General features: G+C 48.2%; 1 protein-coding gene and 1 long non-coding RNA gene across 13 annotated transcripts in view, besides 5 other annotated features; one reads left to right on the top strand and one right to left on the bottom strand.

The window, feature by feature from the left end:
• Positions 5 to 54: an enhancer, noted in NCBI's record as "active region_13822". NCBI's record gives its function as "activates an Ori minimal core promoter by ATAC-STARR-seq in GM12878 lymphoblastoid cells {active_cell/tissue: GM12878}" and the evidence as "EXISTENCE:reporter gene assay evidence [ECO:0000049][PMID:35858748]".
• Positions 75 to 124: an enhancer, noted in NCBI's record as "active region_13821". NCBI's record gives its function as "activates an Ori minimal core promoter by ATAC-STARR-seq in GM12878 lymphoblastoid cells {active_cell/tissue: GM12878}" and the evidence as "EXISTENCE:reporter gene assay evidence [ECO:0000049][PMID:35858748]".
• Positions 4,204 to 4,806: an enhancer, noted in NCBI's record as "OCT4-H3K4me1 hESC enhancer chr19:6199336-6199938 (GRCh37/hg19 assembly coordinates)". NCBI's record gives its function as "activates a minimal SCP1, AML or CMV promoter by ChIP-STARR-seq in naive H9 embryonic stem cells {active_cell/tissue: H9 hESC(naive)}" and the evidence as "EXISTENCE:reporter gene assay evidence [ECO:0000049][PMID:30033119]".
• Positions 4,361 to 4,690: a silencer, noted in NCBI's record as "silent region_9946". NCBI's record gives its function as "represses an Ori minimal core promoter by ATAC-STARR-seq in GM12878 lymphoblastoid cells {active_cell/tissue: GM12878}" and the evidence as "EXISTENCE:reporter gene assay evidence [ECO:0000049][PMID:35858748]".
• Positions 4,607 to 16,038, top strand: part of LOC105372255 (uncharacterized) — a 74,099-nt gene continuing 62,667 nt past the window's right edge. For both annotated transcript variants that reach the window (NR_187772.1, NR_187773.1), the window contains exon 1: positions 4,607 to 4,655. This is a non-coding gene — a long non-coding RNA (uncharacterized LOC105372255). The remainder of the gene's footprint in view (positions 4,656 to 16,038) is intronic.
• Positions 4,807 to 5,410: an enhancer, noted in NCBI's record as "H3K4me1 hESC enhancer chr19:6198732-6199335 (GRCh37/hg19 assembly coordinates)". NCBI's record gives its function as "activates a minimal SCP1, AML or CMV promoter by ChIP-STARR-seq in naive and primed H9 embryonic stem cells {active_cell/tissue: H9 hESC(naive and primed)}" and the evidence as "EXISTENCE:reporter gene assay evidence [ECO:0000049][PMID:30033119]".
• ACSBG2 (acyl-CoA synthetase bubblegum family member 2) overlaps positions 11,040 to 16,038 on the bottom strand; it is a 57,459-nt gene continuing 52,460 nt past the window's right edge. For 6 of the 11 annotated variants that reach the window (NM_001289180.2, NM_001289177.2, NM_030924.5 and 3 more), the window contains exons 14-15: positions 13,439 to 13,547; positions 11,040 to 11,463 (exon numbers count right to left, since the gene is read on the bottom strand). In NM_001289180.2, the coding sequence (NP_001276109.1) occupies positions 13,474 to 13,547 (74 nt within the window). In that variant the 3' untranslated portion in view covers positions 11,040 to 11,463; positions 13,439 to 13,473. Of the gene's footprint in view, positions 11,464 to 13,438; positions 13,548 to 16,038 lie in introns of those variants that run through there. The other 5 variants (XM_047439477.1, XM_017027332.3, XM_047439478.1 and 2 more) reach the window with 2 other exon arrangements.

The following is a 16,038-nucleotide window of genomic DNA, read 5'->3' as shown; positions in this document are numbered from 1 at the left end:
AGTATAGAGATGACATGATTTAATCATCCCCCGTATTGGCTGATACTTATGTAGGCTCTGGCTGCTGGGTTTTTTTGTTGTTGTTTTCACTTTTTTTTTTTTTTTTTAATGAGACAGGGTTTTGGCTGGACACAGTGGCTCACGCCTGTAATCCCAGCACTTTGGGAAGCCAAGGCGGGCGCATCATGAGGTCAGGAGATCAAGACCATCCTGGCTAACACGGTGAAACCCCATCTCTATGAAAAATACAAAAAATTAGCCGGGCGTGGTGGCAGGTGTCTGTAGTCCCAGCTACTCGGGAGGCTGAAGCAGGAGAATGGCGTGAACCCGGGAGGCGGAGCTTGCAGTGAGCCGAGACCGCGCACCACTGCACTCCAGCCTGGGTGACAGAGCGTGACTCCATCTCAAAAAAAAAAAAGAGAGACAAGGTCTTGCTCTGTCACCCAAGGCTGGAGTGCAATGGTGCGTTCATGGCTCATGGCAGCCTCGACCTCCTTGGCTTAAGCAATCCTCCTGCCTCAGGCTTCTGAGTAGTTGGGACTACACATGCACCACCACGCCCGGCTAATTTTCATATTTTTTAGAGATGGCGGTCTCACTATGTTGTCCAGGCTGGTATAAGCCACCATGCCCAGCCTGGTTTCACTTTTATTAGATAAAATGTTGGGGCGAACGCCCTGGTAGCTCAAGCTTTGCCTATGCACTGTGATTATCTGTGCCGACATATGGATCGACTTGACAATTTAAGATGGTGTAACTCTCTTGGTTCCATTCACTCAGGTGAGTCCATCGGATCCAGGTGGAGCCCCTCCCCACCACTCCAGACTCTTGGATACAACTGCCCACCCCTCATTTCCTCGTCTAACACGCATCTCAAACCCAAACAGCCCAGCTAGGGGAGGGATGTTACCCACAGCCCTCATCCCTAAATCTCCTCCCTCCACTCCAACCTACCATAATCTCAGACAACAGCAGCTCCATCCTTCAAGTGGCACTGACCAGAAAACTTTGGTCATTCTCAGCGGGTTTTGCTGAGACACCAACAAATTCTGTGGGCTCTGCTTTCAGAATCCGAACGCTTCTCACCCTCTCTCCTGCTACATCTTGGTCCAAACTATCATCATCTCAATCTCAGCTGGTCTCTTTCCCCTCAGTCTGTCCTCCCCACAGTAGCCAGAGAGCGCCGTGAGCACCTGAGTCAGGGCATATCCCTCCTCTGCCTCCATGGCTCCCACTCCCCCTCCCCTCGGGTAAAAGCCAAGTCCCCCACAAGGCCCACCAGGCACTTCTCAACCTTCCCCACCCCCTCCCTCCCTCACTCTGCTCCAGCCACAGGGGCCTCCTCCTCACTGCTCCTTCAACACAGCAGGCACTGTCCTGCCTCAGGGCCTTTGCACAAACTCCCCTTGACCTGGAACACCATCCCATAGATCTTTTCTCTTCATTGAAGTCTTTGTTGAAATATCACTTTCTCTCAGTGAGGCTCTCCTTAGCCACCTTTTTCTTTCTTTCTTTCTTTTTTTTTTGAGACAGAGTCTCACTCTGTTGCCCAGGCTGGAGTGCAGTGGCGTGATCTCGGCTCACTGCAACCTCTGGCTCCCGGGTTCAAGTGATTCTTCTGCCTCAGCCTCCCAAGTAGCTGGGATTACAGGCATGCACTACCATACCCAGCTAATTTTTGTATTTTTAGTAGAGACGGGGTTTCACCATATTGGTGAGGCTGGTCTCGAACTCCTGACCTCAAGTGATCTGCCCTCCTCTGCCTCCCAAAGTGCTGGGATTACAGGTGTGAGGCACTGCACCTGGCTAGCCGCCATACTTTTAAATTCTGCCCCCACCTCAACAGTTTACTCCTTTACGTGCTTTGGATTCCTCTGAATCACTGAACACTGTCTTACCTATTGCATAATTTACTTGTTTATTACATTGACAGAACAAGTCACAGGAGGTCTCTTATCCCCTTTCCTGATCTGAAAAATGGGTGTTCATTAATTCAACAAACATCAGAGGGTTGGCGCTGGTACAACAACAAGGCAATCTGGCCTCTCGCCCTCAAGGAAATGACCAAATAAACAAATGACCTTGGTAACTTGTAGCCATGATGATGAAAACTGGGAAGAATATTTTTTTGTGACAGAGTCTTGCTCTGTCGCCCAGGCTGGAGTGCAGTGGCATGATCTCGGCTCACTACAACCTCCACCTCCCAGTAGCTGGGATTACAGGTGTGCCACCATGCCTGGCTAATTTTTTTTGTATGTTTAATAGAGACAGGGTTTCACCATGTTGCCCAGGTTGGTCTCAAACTCCTGACCTCAAGTGATCCACCCATCTCAACCTCCCAAAGTGCTGGGATTACAGGCGTGAGCCACCGTGCCTGGCCCTGGGCAGACAACTTTTAAAGGGGCTGTCACAGAGAGGGGGAAGAGGGCAGGTTCGGGGAACCAGGGTAGCAAGGAAAGACCTCGCTGAGGAAATGCCACTGGAGAAGAGACACAGTAAAAACCATAATAATGGCCAGGCACAGTGGCTCATGCCTGTAATCTCAGCACTTTGGGAGGCCGAGGTGGGTGAATCACGAGGTCAGGAGTTTGAGACCAGCCTGGCCAACATGGTGAAACCCCCGTCTTTACTAAAAATACAAAAAATTAGCTGGATGTGGTGGCAGGCACCTGTAACCCCAGCTACTCAGGAGACTGAGGCAGGAGAATTGCTTGAACCCGGGAGGCGGAGGTTGCAGTGAGCCAAGATCGCACCACTGCACTCCAGCCCTGGCGACAGTGAGAGACTGTCTCAAAAACAAAAACAAAAACAAAAAAGAGGCCAGGCGCGGTGGCTTATGCCTGTAATCCCAGCACTTTGGGAGGCCGAGGCCGGTGGATCACGAGGTCAGGAGATGGAGACCATCTTGGCTAACACGGTGAAACCCCGTCTCTACTAAAAATACAAAAAATTAGCCAGGTGTGGTGGCGGGCGCCTGTAGTCCCAGCTACTGGGGAGGCTGAGGCAGGAGAATGGCGTGAACCCGGGAGGCGGAGCTTGCAGTGAGCCAAGATTGGGCCACTGCACTCCAGCCTGAGTGACAGAGCAAGACTCCGTCTCAAACAAACAAAACCATAAAAATAATAAATAGTGAATGCTGGTGCAATGCTTTGTGTGTGCCAGAGCTATTCGATGTGTGTAAACTCACTGAATCCATGCAGCAAAGCTGTGAGCTAGCTGCTGTTATATTTTATATATTTACATAAAAATGCTGATATAAAAGAAAATATTTTATATTAAATTTAACATAAAAGGGCCGGGCACGGTGGCTCACACCTGTAATCCCAGCACTTTGGGAGGCCAAGGAGGGCGGATCACAAGGTCAGGAGATCGAGACCATCCTGGCTGACACGGTGAACCCTGTCTCTACCAAAAATACAAAAAATTAGCCGGGCGTGGTGGTGGGCGCCTGTAGTCCCAGCTACTCAGGAGGCTGAGGCAGGAGAATGGCGTGAACCCGGGAGGCAGAGCTTGCAGTGAGCTGAGATCGCGCCACTGCACTCCAGCCTGGGCAACAGAGCAAGACTCCGTCTCAAAAATAAATAAATAAATAAATAAAAGTGTAGCACGCATAAAATTTATCCATAAACAGACGTTTTATATACTGTACATTTATAAAAACTATACTTTAAATGTATATATAATAATACATATTTTTATATGTTTACTTTTTTATTTTTTTAACTTTATTTTTACCGGAGGATCCAGTTTACTATGGGTATTGGAATGACTTTTCTTTTTTTTTTTTTTTTTGAGACAGTCTTGCTCTGCTGTTGCCCAGGCTGGAGTGCAGTGGCACCATCTGGGCTCACTGCCTCTGCCTCCCGGGTTGGAGTGATTCTCCTGCCTCCAGCCTCCCAAGTAGCTGGGATTACAGGCATGCACCACCATGCCTGGCTAATTTTTGTATTTTTCGTAAAGACAGGGTTTCACCATGTTGGCCAGGCTGGTCTCGAACTCCTGACCTCAAGTGATCTGCCTGCCTCGGACACCCAAAGTGCTAGGATTAAGGCGTGAGCCACCGCGCCTGGCCTTTATATATATATATATATTTATATGTAAAGTTTTCATATAGGGAAACAGAGGCACAAAGGCACAAAGTTTTCGTGCAAGAAAACGTAGCTAATGGCTGCTCTGGGATCTGAACCAGGGCCCCTAAGTCTGCAGCTTTTCATTTCTGGCTCTCAGGCAGCCTCAGGGAATCCGTTAAAACAAACATGCGAGTCAGACAAGTGGCAGTCACAGGAGAGTAACACTGCGCAGGCGCAGAAGGGATGTAGTGGCGCGCAGGCGTAGGAGGCGGGGGGAGATGGGGGAGGAAGGCCCTGCAGCGGCGCGCAGGCGCAGAAGCAAGTGGGCCGGAGCGGCGCGCAGGCTTACCGGGGGAAGAAAGGCGCGCAGGCGCAGGACGCGGGGAGGGGCGGGGGAAGAAAGGCCCTGGAGCGCTGCGCTGGCGCAGGAGGTGAAATAAGTGGCGCGCAGGCGCAAGAGGGTGGGTGCAGAAGAGGCGCGCAGGCGCAGGAGGGGCGGGAGGGGCGCGCAGGCGCGGACCGCCTGGCGGTACTTTGAAGAAAGACTTCTCGACGCCGAGACACTGCTGGTGGTACTCGATGTAGGTGAGCAGGTGGCAGCTGTTGGAGCCGGGCGCGATGTTGTTGGCGTACTTGATGGCCGTGCTCGCGACCATGTCGTGCACAGTGAGGAGTGTCTTGTTGCTAACTTAGTCCTTGCTGAGCCGCAGTCGCGCCTCCCCGTCGCGCTCCGTGGTCCGAGTAGCTCAGCCTGCGGACAGGCGGGTCAGCGGCGGCCGGAGACCCCCAGATGGACCTAGAGAGAGGCGAGCAGGTGGCGTGTCAGGGGCAAAACCAGGGAGAGATGGGAGCACAGGCAGGAGCGTGGCACTGAGAGATGGCAGACGGAGGAGGCGTGGTGTATGAAGTGGATTGCCAAGGGAGAAAGATGACCAGCGAGGCACAGAAGGGGATGCAGGGACAGGTGGACAGTGAGACGCACTGACCCAGAGAGGAGTTCAGCAGGAAACCCACCAGCAAGCAGACAGGTCAGCTGTAGGCCCACTGTCCCTGCCGGGCGCCGTCTCCTCCCCAGGGACCAGACACTTCTTTTTTTTTTTTTTTTTCTTTTTTGAGATGGAGTTTCACTCTTGTTTCTCAGGCTGGAGTGCAATGGCATGATCTCAGCTCACTGCGAACTCTGCCTCCTGGGTTTAAGCGATTCTTCTGCCTCAGCCTCCCAAGTACCTGGGATTACAGGCATGCGCCCCCACACCCAGCTAATTTTGTATTTTTAGTAGAGACGGGGTTTCAACATGTTGGTCAGGCTGGTCTCGAACTCCTGACCTCAGGTGATCCACCCACCTCGGCCTCCCAAAGTGCTGGGATTACAGGCATGAGCCACCACGCCCGGCGGGACCAGACACTTCTGACAACTGCTAACCACCTGCACCCCCAAACCCCCATACACCCAGCCGGGCACCCTATGGTGGTGCTCTCCATGCCCGCATCCCATCAGGCAACTTCTGAAGAGATAGATTGAACCCTAAAGGATCCCAACACTGGCTGAACGGCCTTGGCCAGCCCTGAAGCGCTAGATCCCCACTCTCAAACTGGCTTCTCTGGGAACACCACTACCCTCACCCAGGAGCCAAGGAGCCCCAAACTCTGTTTTTCTTTCCTGGGTGTTGAGTGCCTTTCTGTCGTGGACTCTGAATCTGTCCGAGGACATGGTCTTCAAAGTATCTTTGTTTTCCTTGTCACTGTCTGGGGGCATCTAGTTTGCTGGGCTTGGGCAGACAGATCTTCAAACGAAATTACAGTGGGCAGCAGGGGTGGGAGGGTCCAGCAGGGAGGCACAGGATTCCCACCGAGTTATGGGGGTGGCCAGGGAAGGCTTCTCTGAACAATGGGTAGACACTGACCAGGCAAAGGAGGGAGGGAGAAGCATCTTAAAAGAGGTAACAGGCAGCCAGACGTGGGGTCATGCCTGTAATCCCAGCACTTTGGGAGGCCGAGGTGGGCGGATCACGAGGTCAGGAGTTTGAGACCAGCTTGTCCAATATGGTGAAACCGTCTCTACTAAAAAATGCAAAAATTAGCCGGGCGTGGTGGCGCGCACTTGGAGTCCCAGCTACTCTGGAGGCTGAAGCAGGAGAATTGCTTGAACCCAGGAGGCGGAGGTTGCAGTGAGCCGAGATCGCGGCACTGTACTCCAGCCTGGGTGACATAGTGAGACTCCATCTCAAAAAAAAAAAAAAAAAAAGAGAGATAACAGGCTGGGTGCGGTGGCTCATGCCTGTAATCTCAGCACTTTGGGAGGCCAAGGTGGGCGGATCACTTGAGGCCTGGCCAACGTGGTGAAACCCCATCTCTACTAAAAATACAAAAATTAGCCAGGCATCGTGTCGGGCACCTGTAATCCCAGCTACTCGGGAGGCTGAGGCAGGAGAATCATTTCAGCCTGGGAGGTGGAGGTTGCAGTGAACAGAGATCGCACCTCTGTACTCCAGCCTGGGGAACAGAGGGAGACTCTGTCTCCAAAAAAAAAAAAAAAAAAAAAAAAAAAAAAAGGGGGGGGTTGGGGGCTGGAGTGAAGAGAAGGAGGAGCATAGAAGGAAATGAACCTACCACACACATTCCCCACCTGGTGTGCAGCCTAGTTCATCCCCAGGAGGAGCTGAGGTATGTGGGCTCCCAGTCCCTCCCTCCCATCCACAACATATTTTCATGCCCCTGTCATTGGGAAGGCAGTGCCCACTCTGGGCTCTACCTTCTTTTTTTTTTTTTTTTTTTTTTTTTTTTTGAGACAGAGTCTCGCTCTGTCGCCTAGGCTGGAGTACAGTGGCGTGATCTCGGCTCACTGCAAGCTCCGCCTCCCGGGTTCACTCCATTCTCCTGCCTCAGCCTCCCGAGTAGCTGGGACTACAGGCGCCCGCCACCATGCCCGGCTAATTTTTTGTATTTTTAGTAGAGATGGGGTTTCACTGTGTTAGCCAGGATGGTGTCAACCTCCTGACCTCGTGATCCACCCGCCTCAGCCTCCCAAAGTGCTGGGATTACAGGCATGAGCCACCATGCCCGGCCTCTGGACTCTACCTTTTTTTTTTTTGAGACAGAGTCTAGCTCTGTCGCCCAGGCTGGAGTGCAGTGGCGCAATCTTGGCTCACTGCAAGCTCCGCCTCCCGGGTTCACACCATTCTCCTGCCTCAGCCTCCCAAGTAGCTGGGACTACAAGCGCCCGCCACCATGCCCGGCTAATTTTTTGTATTTTTAGTAGAGACAGGGTTTCACCGTGTTAGCCAGGATGGTCTCAACCTCCTGACCTCGTGATCCACCCACCTCAGCCTCCTAAAGTGCTGGGATTAAAGGCATGAGCCACCATGCCCGGCCTCTGGACTCTACCTTTTTATCAGCTTGATCACTCCCCCCGTTCTAGCCACAGGGGGACAGTGGTCCCTAGACCAGACATCCAGAATGTTCCTGTCCATGGCCAGCCTGGTGCCATCACTGTGTATCCCGTGGCCCAGAGCCATGATGGGGACATGGCCCATTGCCTCTTTGTAGAGGCCAGTTTTAGCGGGCAGGGAGGGTCTACCCAAGAAGGCCCTTCACTGCCCTGACAAGCCAGTGGTCTGCAAGGTGACAGTCCCCAGGGAGGAGCCAGGGGCAAGTCTGGCAGCAGGAGGGATTCCAGAGTCACTGTTCTACATTGTTGAGGTTGAGTGAGAGAGTTCCCAAGGGAGCTGGAAGAAGAGTGGTGAGATGGAGGAGGTAAATAAGGTGTGGGCATCATCGAGGTCAAGGAAGCAGAGCCCTGGGCTCCCAGAAGGTTGAGTTAGAGAAGGACTTTGAGTCACTGTGCCTGGGGGTTTATGAATTCATTTGCCCACCAAGCATAATTGAAAGCAGGGGCGTGAAGAGATATTTATACACCCATGGTTTCTTTTCTGGGCGTTGAGTGCGTTTTTGCCATGGACCCTGAACCATGCCATGGACCCATATACATAGAAGCATGATTCACAAGAGCCAAAAGGTGGAAGCAACCCAAGTGTCTATTGATGGATGAATGGATAAATTTATCCACGTATATATGTGTACATACACACACACACATGTGTACATACATGATGAAATATTCAGCCTGAAAAAAGAAATTTTAACACATGCTAAACATGGATGAGGCCAGGTGTGGTGGCTCACACCTGTGATCCCAACACTTTGAGGGGCTGAGATGGGAGGATCAGTTGAGGCCAGGAGTTCAAGACCAGCCTGGGCAACATAGGGAGACCCTGTCTCTATTTTTAAAAAATTGTTAAAAAAATTGAAAAAACTTTAAAAAAGGATGACCCTTGAAGACATTATCCTCAGTTAAATAAGCCAGTCAGAAAATGGCAAATATTCTTACATTATCACTTTTTTTTTTTTTTTTTGAGATGGAGTCTTGCTCTGTTCCCGAGGCTGGAGTGCAGTGGCATGATCTCAGCTCACTGCAACCTCCACCTCCCAGGTTCAAGTGATTGTTCTGCCTCAGCCTCCTGAGCAGCTGGGACTACAGGCATGCACCACCACGCCCAGCTAATTTTTGTATTTTTTGTAGAGACGGGGTTTCGCCGTATTGGCTGGGCTGGTCTCGAACTCCTGACCTCATGATCCACCCGCCTCGGCTTCTCAGAGTGCTGGGATTACAGGCATGAGCCACCATGCCCGGCCGACAATTTCACTTTTAAGGTGCTTAAAGTAGTAAAATTCAAGAGACAGAAAATAGAATGATAGCTTTCAGGGGAAGGGGAAATGGGGAATTGTTTGATGGATATAAAGTTTCAGTTTGAAGAGATGAAACTTCTAGAAATGCGTCGTGTTGATGGTTGTACAACAATGTGAATGTGCTTAATGCCACCGAACTGTGTACTAAAAAAGGGTTAAAATGACACATTTTATGTTACATATATTTTACCACAGTTAAATTTTAAAAGCCTTCCTGACATTAGTAGATTCTTGTCGTTTCTCAAAAAACATTGAGAGAACATTAAGAGAACAGTGAGACCAGGGTGAGAATCATTATAGAAAATACATACATTCCTCTCCTGTATTCGAGCTTCCCTCACTTGACATGATCAACCATTTGTATTTCCTTGATGAGGAATCAATATTGAAAAGGAAGTAAAAAAATATTTGCAAAAGATATGCACATCTCTGTAAAAAGCTTACACATTTTGAGAAATAGGTTAGCAGTGAGGTGTCTAGATATAATATTAACATACAAAAATCAACAGCACTTCCATATACCAACATTAACTACCTAGAAAACCTACAAGTGGGGAGATCACATGGACAGTAGAAACAAAAACTATAAAATAGAATTATATTGACCAAAAATTGTACAGTGTAGTCATGGATAAAATTAGAAGGGTTTGGCTGAGTTCAGTGGCTCATACCTGTAACCCCAGTGCTTTGGGAGGCCAAGACAGGAGAGGATCCCTTGAGCCCAGGAATTTGAAGTTACAGTGAGCTGAGATCACACCAGTGCACTCCAGCCTGGGTGACAGAGTGAGGCCCTGTCTCTATTTTTAAAAAACTCAAAAAGGTTTACTAACAGAAACATGAAAATGCAGAAAATGTGGCATGAGATATACCTCAGAAAGGGCACTGTTTACAGTGTGAGAGCTGAAACAGGAAGCCAGAGTGTTGCCTTGTTCAACCTCAGCTGGGAATGTACAGTTGGCCACTCAAATTTTTCACTCCTGTGTATGTCCTGGAATGACCTCTAAAGTGCCATAACTATTGATTTGGGGTTTACAAGCAAATTCTAGCGATGAGGCAAATTTGCAAATATGGAATTGGCAGATAGTGAGGACCAACTGTACTAACTCATTAAAAAGTAAAAGCCCGCCAAATAGTTGAGGAGGGCCATTGATGTGGTTTGGATATTTGTCCCTGCCCAAATCTCATGTTGCACTGTAATCCCCTGTGCTGGAGGTGGGGCCTGGTGGAGGTGTTTGGGTCATGGCAGGGGGGCGGATCCCTCATGGCTTGGGGCTGTCTTCACGATAGTGTGTTCTCAAAAGATCTGGTCATTTAAAAATGTGTGGCACTCCCTCTGGCTTGCAACTGCTTTCGCCATGCGACATGCCTGCTCCCCTTTTGCCCTCCGCTATGATTGTGAGCTCCCTGAGGCTTCACCAGAAGCTGAACAGGCACCAGCACCATACTTTCTATAAAGCCTGTAGAACCATGAGCTAATTAATTAAACCTCTTTTCTTTATAAATGACCCCATCTCAGGTATTTCTTTATAACAGTGCAATAATGGCCTAGTACAGCAATCAAATATGACATTAGCCTTATCGGCATTGCATTAATTTTTTTTTTTTGCAAGGAGAATGTCATTTTAAATTTCTGGTGTATTTAAAAAATGGAACTCAAAAGGGTCTCTGGCCTGCCTCTGAGTATCTAGAAGCTTAAGAGACACTGGGAGTTTTGTTGCTCCTGATATGCTGTTTCTGTCCAGGCTGGGAGATGTTCCCTCTCCCACTCTCCCTACTAATATTTCGGAGACACACTATGAATATGCTTTATCAGCTCTGGTCTGCTTATAATATGACTGTTGGATGGGAGAGGAATAAACTATCTTCTTTAAGTTTACTTAACTTACTACAACAGAAAACTCCTCCCTAATGACGGAATTAGTCAAGAGTCATACCTTGACTCTTGAGTTAACCAAGAGTGACTGTGTTGATGATAACCATTAACTCAAACCGAGGACTTTCTGGAGTTAGATACTGCATTCCCTGTACATCATCTCCATGAACTTCCATGGCCACCCTCCGAGATGGGGATCTACTTTCCAGGTTTAAAATCTCCGAGCCTCAGACAGTTGAAATCACAGCTGGTCACAATTTGAACCCAGAACTGATTTCAGAGTCCAAGCCCTCCCCATCACACTAAATAAAGGACAAAGTATTTCTATCAAGCCAAAAATCAAGACATGGGACCCTGAAGTGCTTTATTATCAGGACTTATTGGAAGGGTTTCCCAGTTGCTTCCAGGCAGGTGAGTTGATTTGGGGGTCCAGTTCTTCAAATCTGTGAGGCTTTTTCTTTCTAATGTCTGAGTCCCCTGAGGAGAAAAAAATCAAATGGGAGCCCACAAGTTCAGGTCTTTCTTGTAAATCAGGCAGTTTTTAGTAGACTTCCCAATAGGCTTCCCTGGAGTCATGACTTGAAGGTCCTTAGAAAGATATACAGTGATTTTATTGCTTTGAAACGTATGGCAGGTTCTTCTAGGGAGCACCTCTCCAACAGACGAACAATCAAGAAACTGACCAATGAGGAATGTGGCTTCTTAAAAACAGCAGGGAGAGCTTCTACCTAGAGCAGCATTTCACTTATTGCAATGAGGTCTTCCTGCTGAAGGCTGCAAAGAGGAGAAACACAAGTTATCACATGGGGATTCTCGTAATATGTGCATTCAGTCTCCAAGATCCCACAGTCACCATATGATGAAAATATTCCCGAGTGAATCGATCCATTTATAAATTGGCTGTCACCCAAAATCTCCCCACAATGAACTTTAGAGTGGCACTATCCACAAGAAACATTACTGGAGCCACCTATGCAATTTAACAATGTATAGCAGCTACATTTTTAAAAAAGGAACTTGGCCAGGCACAGTGGCTCACACTTGTAATCACAGCACTTTGTGAAGCTGAAGCAGGAGGATCGCTTGAGGCCAGGAGTTTGAGACCAACCTGGGCAACATAGAAATACCTCATCTCTACAAAAACATTTAAAACATTAGGTATGAATGCACCACTGCACTCTAGCCTGAGCAACAGAGCAAGACCCTGTCTCTAAAAAGTAAATAAAAATTTAAAACTGGTAAAATTACTTTTAATAATAAATATTTTACGTAACCCGGTATTCCAAAATATCATCTCAACATGTAATCAAAATTTTAAAATACTGATGAGATATTGTATATTCTATTTTTTTTTTTTTTTTTTTTTTTTTGGTGCTGTGCTTTTGAAGCCCAGTGTGTTTTATGTATTACAGCACATCTTGGTTTGGACAGACCACATAGTGGCCAGTGGCTGCCATATTGGACAGCACTGGTGTAAGAGGGTCCATCTCTCACTCCCACATCAATGTCCAATGGTTTCTCATTCAACTGGAAAGTGAAATTGGAAATCTTGTGAAAGATGAAGAATTATGAATGTGGTACGTTGAACTGCTGGGCCCACCCACAAGACATCAACAAATGAAGGTGTGGAAGGGTTAAACCAGTTAACGTTGAACAAAGGACAATGGATATGATGAGTTACAAGCTGAGTTGTATCCCTCCACAATTCACATGTTGAAGTCCTAACCTTTAGTACTTCAGGGTGTAACTTATTTGGAAACTAGATCATTATAGAAGTTAAAACGAGGTCATAAGGGTGGGCCCTAATCTTACTAACCTGTCCCTATAAAAGGGAAATTTGAACACAGTGACACCCAGAGGGAAGATGATGTGAAGACAGAGAGAGAAGACAGCCATCAGCAAGCCAAGGAGAGAAGTCTGGAATGGATCCTCCCCTCACAGCCCTCAGAAGGAACCAAGCCAGCCAGCCTCTCAATCTCACACTTTTAGCCTCCAGATCTGTGAGACAATAAGTTTATGTTGTTTAAGCCCTCCAGTCTGTGGTACTTTGTAATGTAGCCCCAGCAAACTAAAACATGGGTTGGCTGGTGGCATTAGAACAAGTTGCCCATGAAAAGGTTACAGGCAGCCTATAGGACAATTGAAGATGCATTCTACTTTCTGCCTGCACTGTGCATCTAGTGAAGAAAAAAAAAAAAAACACCTCAATAACTATCAGTGATTCATGGTGTCATGGAGGCTCCCTCTGCACATGTCTTGGGGAAAAGAGAGGATAAACGGTGGATAGTGGAAGTTCAAGCCTCCATCCCTTATTATCTGTGTAATGGGCCAACACACCTCATTCCTTGAGTTCCTGGCAAGTAGAACTTTCTCCACTAAAGTTTCTGACAAAGGCCTTCTCCAAATAAGACCCAATGAGACATTTGGGATTCATTGCCTCCTACTTTCTAGAAACAAATAGAAAAGGCAGGAAGCACAGCTAACAACATTGGTGGCCAGCTGAAGGAGTTTACACACCCTACCATGACCCTGGTAGAGTAGAGACAGCATGAGTTGAAGCCTGCTACTCAGAATCCACTGCAACTAAGAGTGTGTGTGTGTGTGTGTGTGTGTGTGTGTGTGTGTGTGTATGTATGTGTGTATGTGTGTGTTTTCTGCAGTTCCAGTCACAGATCTGCCTGCCACACAGTGGAGCCCTCTCTTGGACTCTGAATGCATAGCCCAGCAAAGCCAAGCAACTGAATCTCACCATCAGAACAGCTGAGAGCAGCTCCATCAAAGCAGTCAGTGGTACATGTGATCAATTTGTTTTTTGTATTTCTGGGCTACAAAATGTCTCTTAAGTTTCATCATTGGACCTATCGAGAAAGGAGAAATCAATTGAGTTGTGGAGATAAAAGAAAATTACACACACCCATGCATGACCAGGCAACAGAGTCCCATGCCTGGGGCTAGGCTGGGTGGCTGGCTGTGCCATTGACTTTCAGGGTGTGTAACTTTTGCCATCTGTATGGGGATGATAAAACTTCCATGTGATCCTTCAGCTGTGGTGAGGATTCTGTGAGCTGGAAGGTGAAGAGCATGGTGCATTCTGTGCCTGATGTGGACTGTGCACCCAATGGAGGAGGGATATCATCATCTCAAACCATACCCCTATCCCCATTTTACAGGTGAGGAAACTGGGGCATAGAGAGGACCAGTTCCTCTGAGGTCAGCCAGCAAGTGCACGGCAGAATCAAGTCTCAAACTGGGAGTTGTCTGCTCCCTGAGCCCAGGACTTTCATTGAAAGCCTCTGAGTCACCAGGGGCATTGAAGCCCCTCTGGGTGTCTCAAGCAACCCCACAAGGACTGTGTTTTCAACTTATAGATGAGAAGACCACCAGCCTGGACAACATGGCAAAACACCATCTCTACAAAACAAAAAGAGGATAGCGGCCAGGCACGGTGGCTCACGCCTGTAATCCCAGCACTTTGGGAGGCCAAGGCGGGTTGATCACGAGGTCAAGAGATCAAGACCATCCTGGCCAAAATGGTGAAACCCTGTCTCTACTAAAAATACAAAAAATTAGCTGGACGTGGTGGCACGCACCTGTAGTCCCAGCTACTCGGGAGGCTGAGGCAGGAAAATCGCTTGAACCTGGGAAGTGGAGGTTGCAGTGAGCCGAGATTGCGCCACTGCACTCCAGCCTGGCGACAGAGTAAAACTCCGTCTCAAAAAAAAAAAAGAAAGAAAGAAAGAAAGAAAATAGCCACGCATGGTGGCGCGCACTCATCCCAGCTACTCAGGAGGCTGAGGTGGGAGGATCGCTTGAGCCTGGGAGTTCAAGGCTGCAGCAGCAAGCTGTGATTGTGCCATCGTACTCCAACCTGGGTAACAGAGCAAGACTCTGTCTCAAAACAAACAAAAAAAAAACAAGACTCAGTGGGACAAGTCACTTCCCTGTGTAGAGGGGACAGGATTTGAACCCAGGTTGTTCATTGCCACATACTTGCTCTGATTCTTCCATCCACACCGTCAGATTACAGCCGAGCGCTGACAGCAAACTCGCAAATGAAAGTACATTAGTAGAATCCAGTATCCCCACTCTGGAGTGAGCCCTTCCCTCATGGGGGAAGAGAGGCAAAAATAAAACATACAGAGACTAATTTCATGTTCTGATGCTTTAAAGAAGACAGGGTGGTATAATGGGGGTGGCAGCAAGCTACTGGGTGAAATATTAAGGACGATGGCAAGCCACTTTAGCCAGCATGGTCAGGGAGGGCTGAAACCATCCCTGAAAACTTTATAATATTAATCAGAGAAGAAGGGAGGGGGACAAACTAAAATCAGCCACACTTACAGCACACTCAACATTCATCATTAGGTCAGTTTGCTCTCTAACCCCTTCCTCATAGCTAGCTGTTTGCCTATTGCCCCAGAATCACACACACACAAAAAACCCAATCACAAGATATAGTTCCCCTTAACTGCTCTACAGATAACATATTAAGCATTGTGAAAGGTCAAGTTTTCCATCTGAGATATCCTTTCAAGTCCTGCATACCAGTGAAACTACTGATGCCCACTGATCTGAAGGACCCCACGGGAGCTGACTTACCAAAGAATGCAGCTTCCACATCCGATGATTTCATCCCCTTTACCTCAACCAATCAATGACTCTAATTTTCCAGCCCTTCACCCCCAAAGATCCCCTTAAAACCCCAGCCCAGAATTCCTCAAAGAGAGATTTGAGGGTTCCTTCCATCTCGGTTGGCTTCCCTGCAAGGGAATTTAATTTCCTTTTTTATTTTTGTTTGTTTGTTTTTTGTTTTTGAGACAGGGTCTCACTGCATTGCCTAGGCTGGAGTGCACTGGCATGATTGTGGCTCACTGCAGCCTTGACCTCCCTGGGCTCAAGCGATCCTCTCAGTCTCCTGAGTAGCTGGGCACCGCTACCATACCCAGCTAATTTTTGTATTTTGTGTAGAGTTAGGATTTCACCATGTTGCCCAGGTTGGTCTCAAACTCCTGGGCTCAAGCAGTCTGCCCAACTCAGCCTCCCAAAGTGTTGGGATTACAGGCGTGAGCCACTGTGCCTGGCCATAATTAAACTCTGTCTTTGCTGCATCCCCTGCTGTCTCAGTGTATTGGTATATTACTGTGCAGTGGGCATACAAACCTGGGGGTCCTGTAACAAGGCTGCTCTGAGGGGGAAGAGGCCTGTAGGGTGAGACCTGGACAATGAGAAGAAGCCATCCAGGCAAGGAATTGAGGGGGAAGGGTATTCCCAGGGAGGCAGACTGGCAGGTGCAAAGGCCCTATAGTTGGACAAAGCCCAGAGAGCTGCAGGAACATCAAGAAAGCCCAT

Source organism: Homo sapiens, chromosome 19 (genome assembly GCF_000001405.40).
Source record: "Homo sapiens chromosome 19, GRCh38.p14 Primary Assembly".
Lineage (NCBI taxonomy): Eukaryota > Metazoa > Chordata > Mammalia > Primates > Hominidae > Homo > Homo sapiens.
Note: the sequence above shows the minus strand (reverse complement) of the source record. Positions and strands in the feature narration are given on the sequence as shown.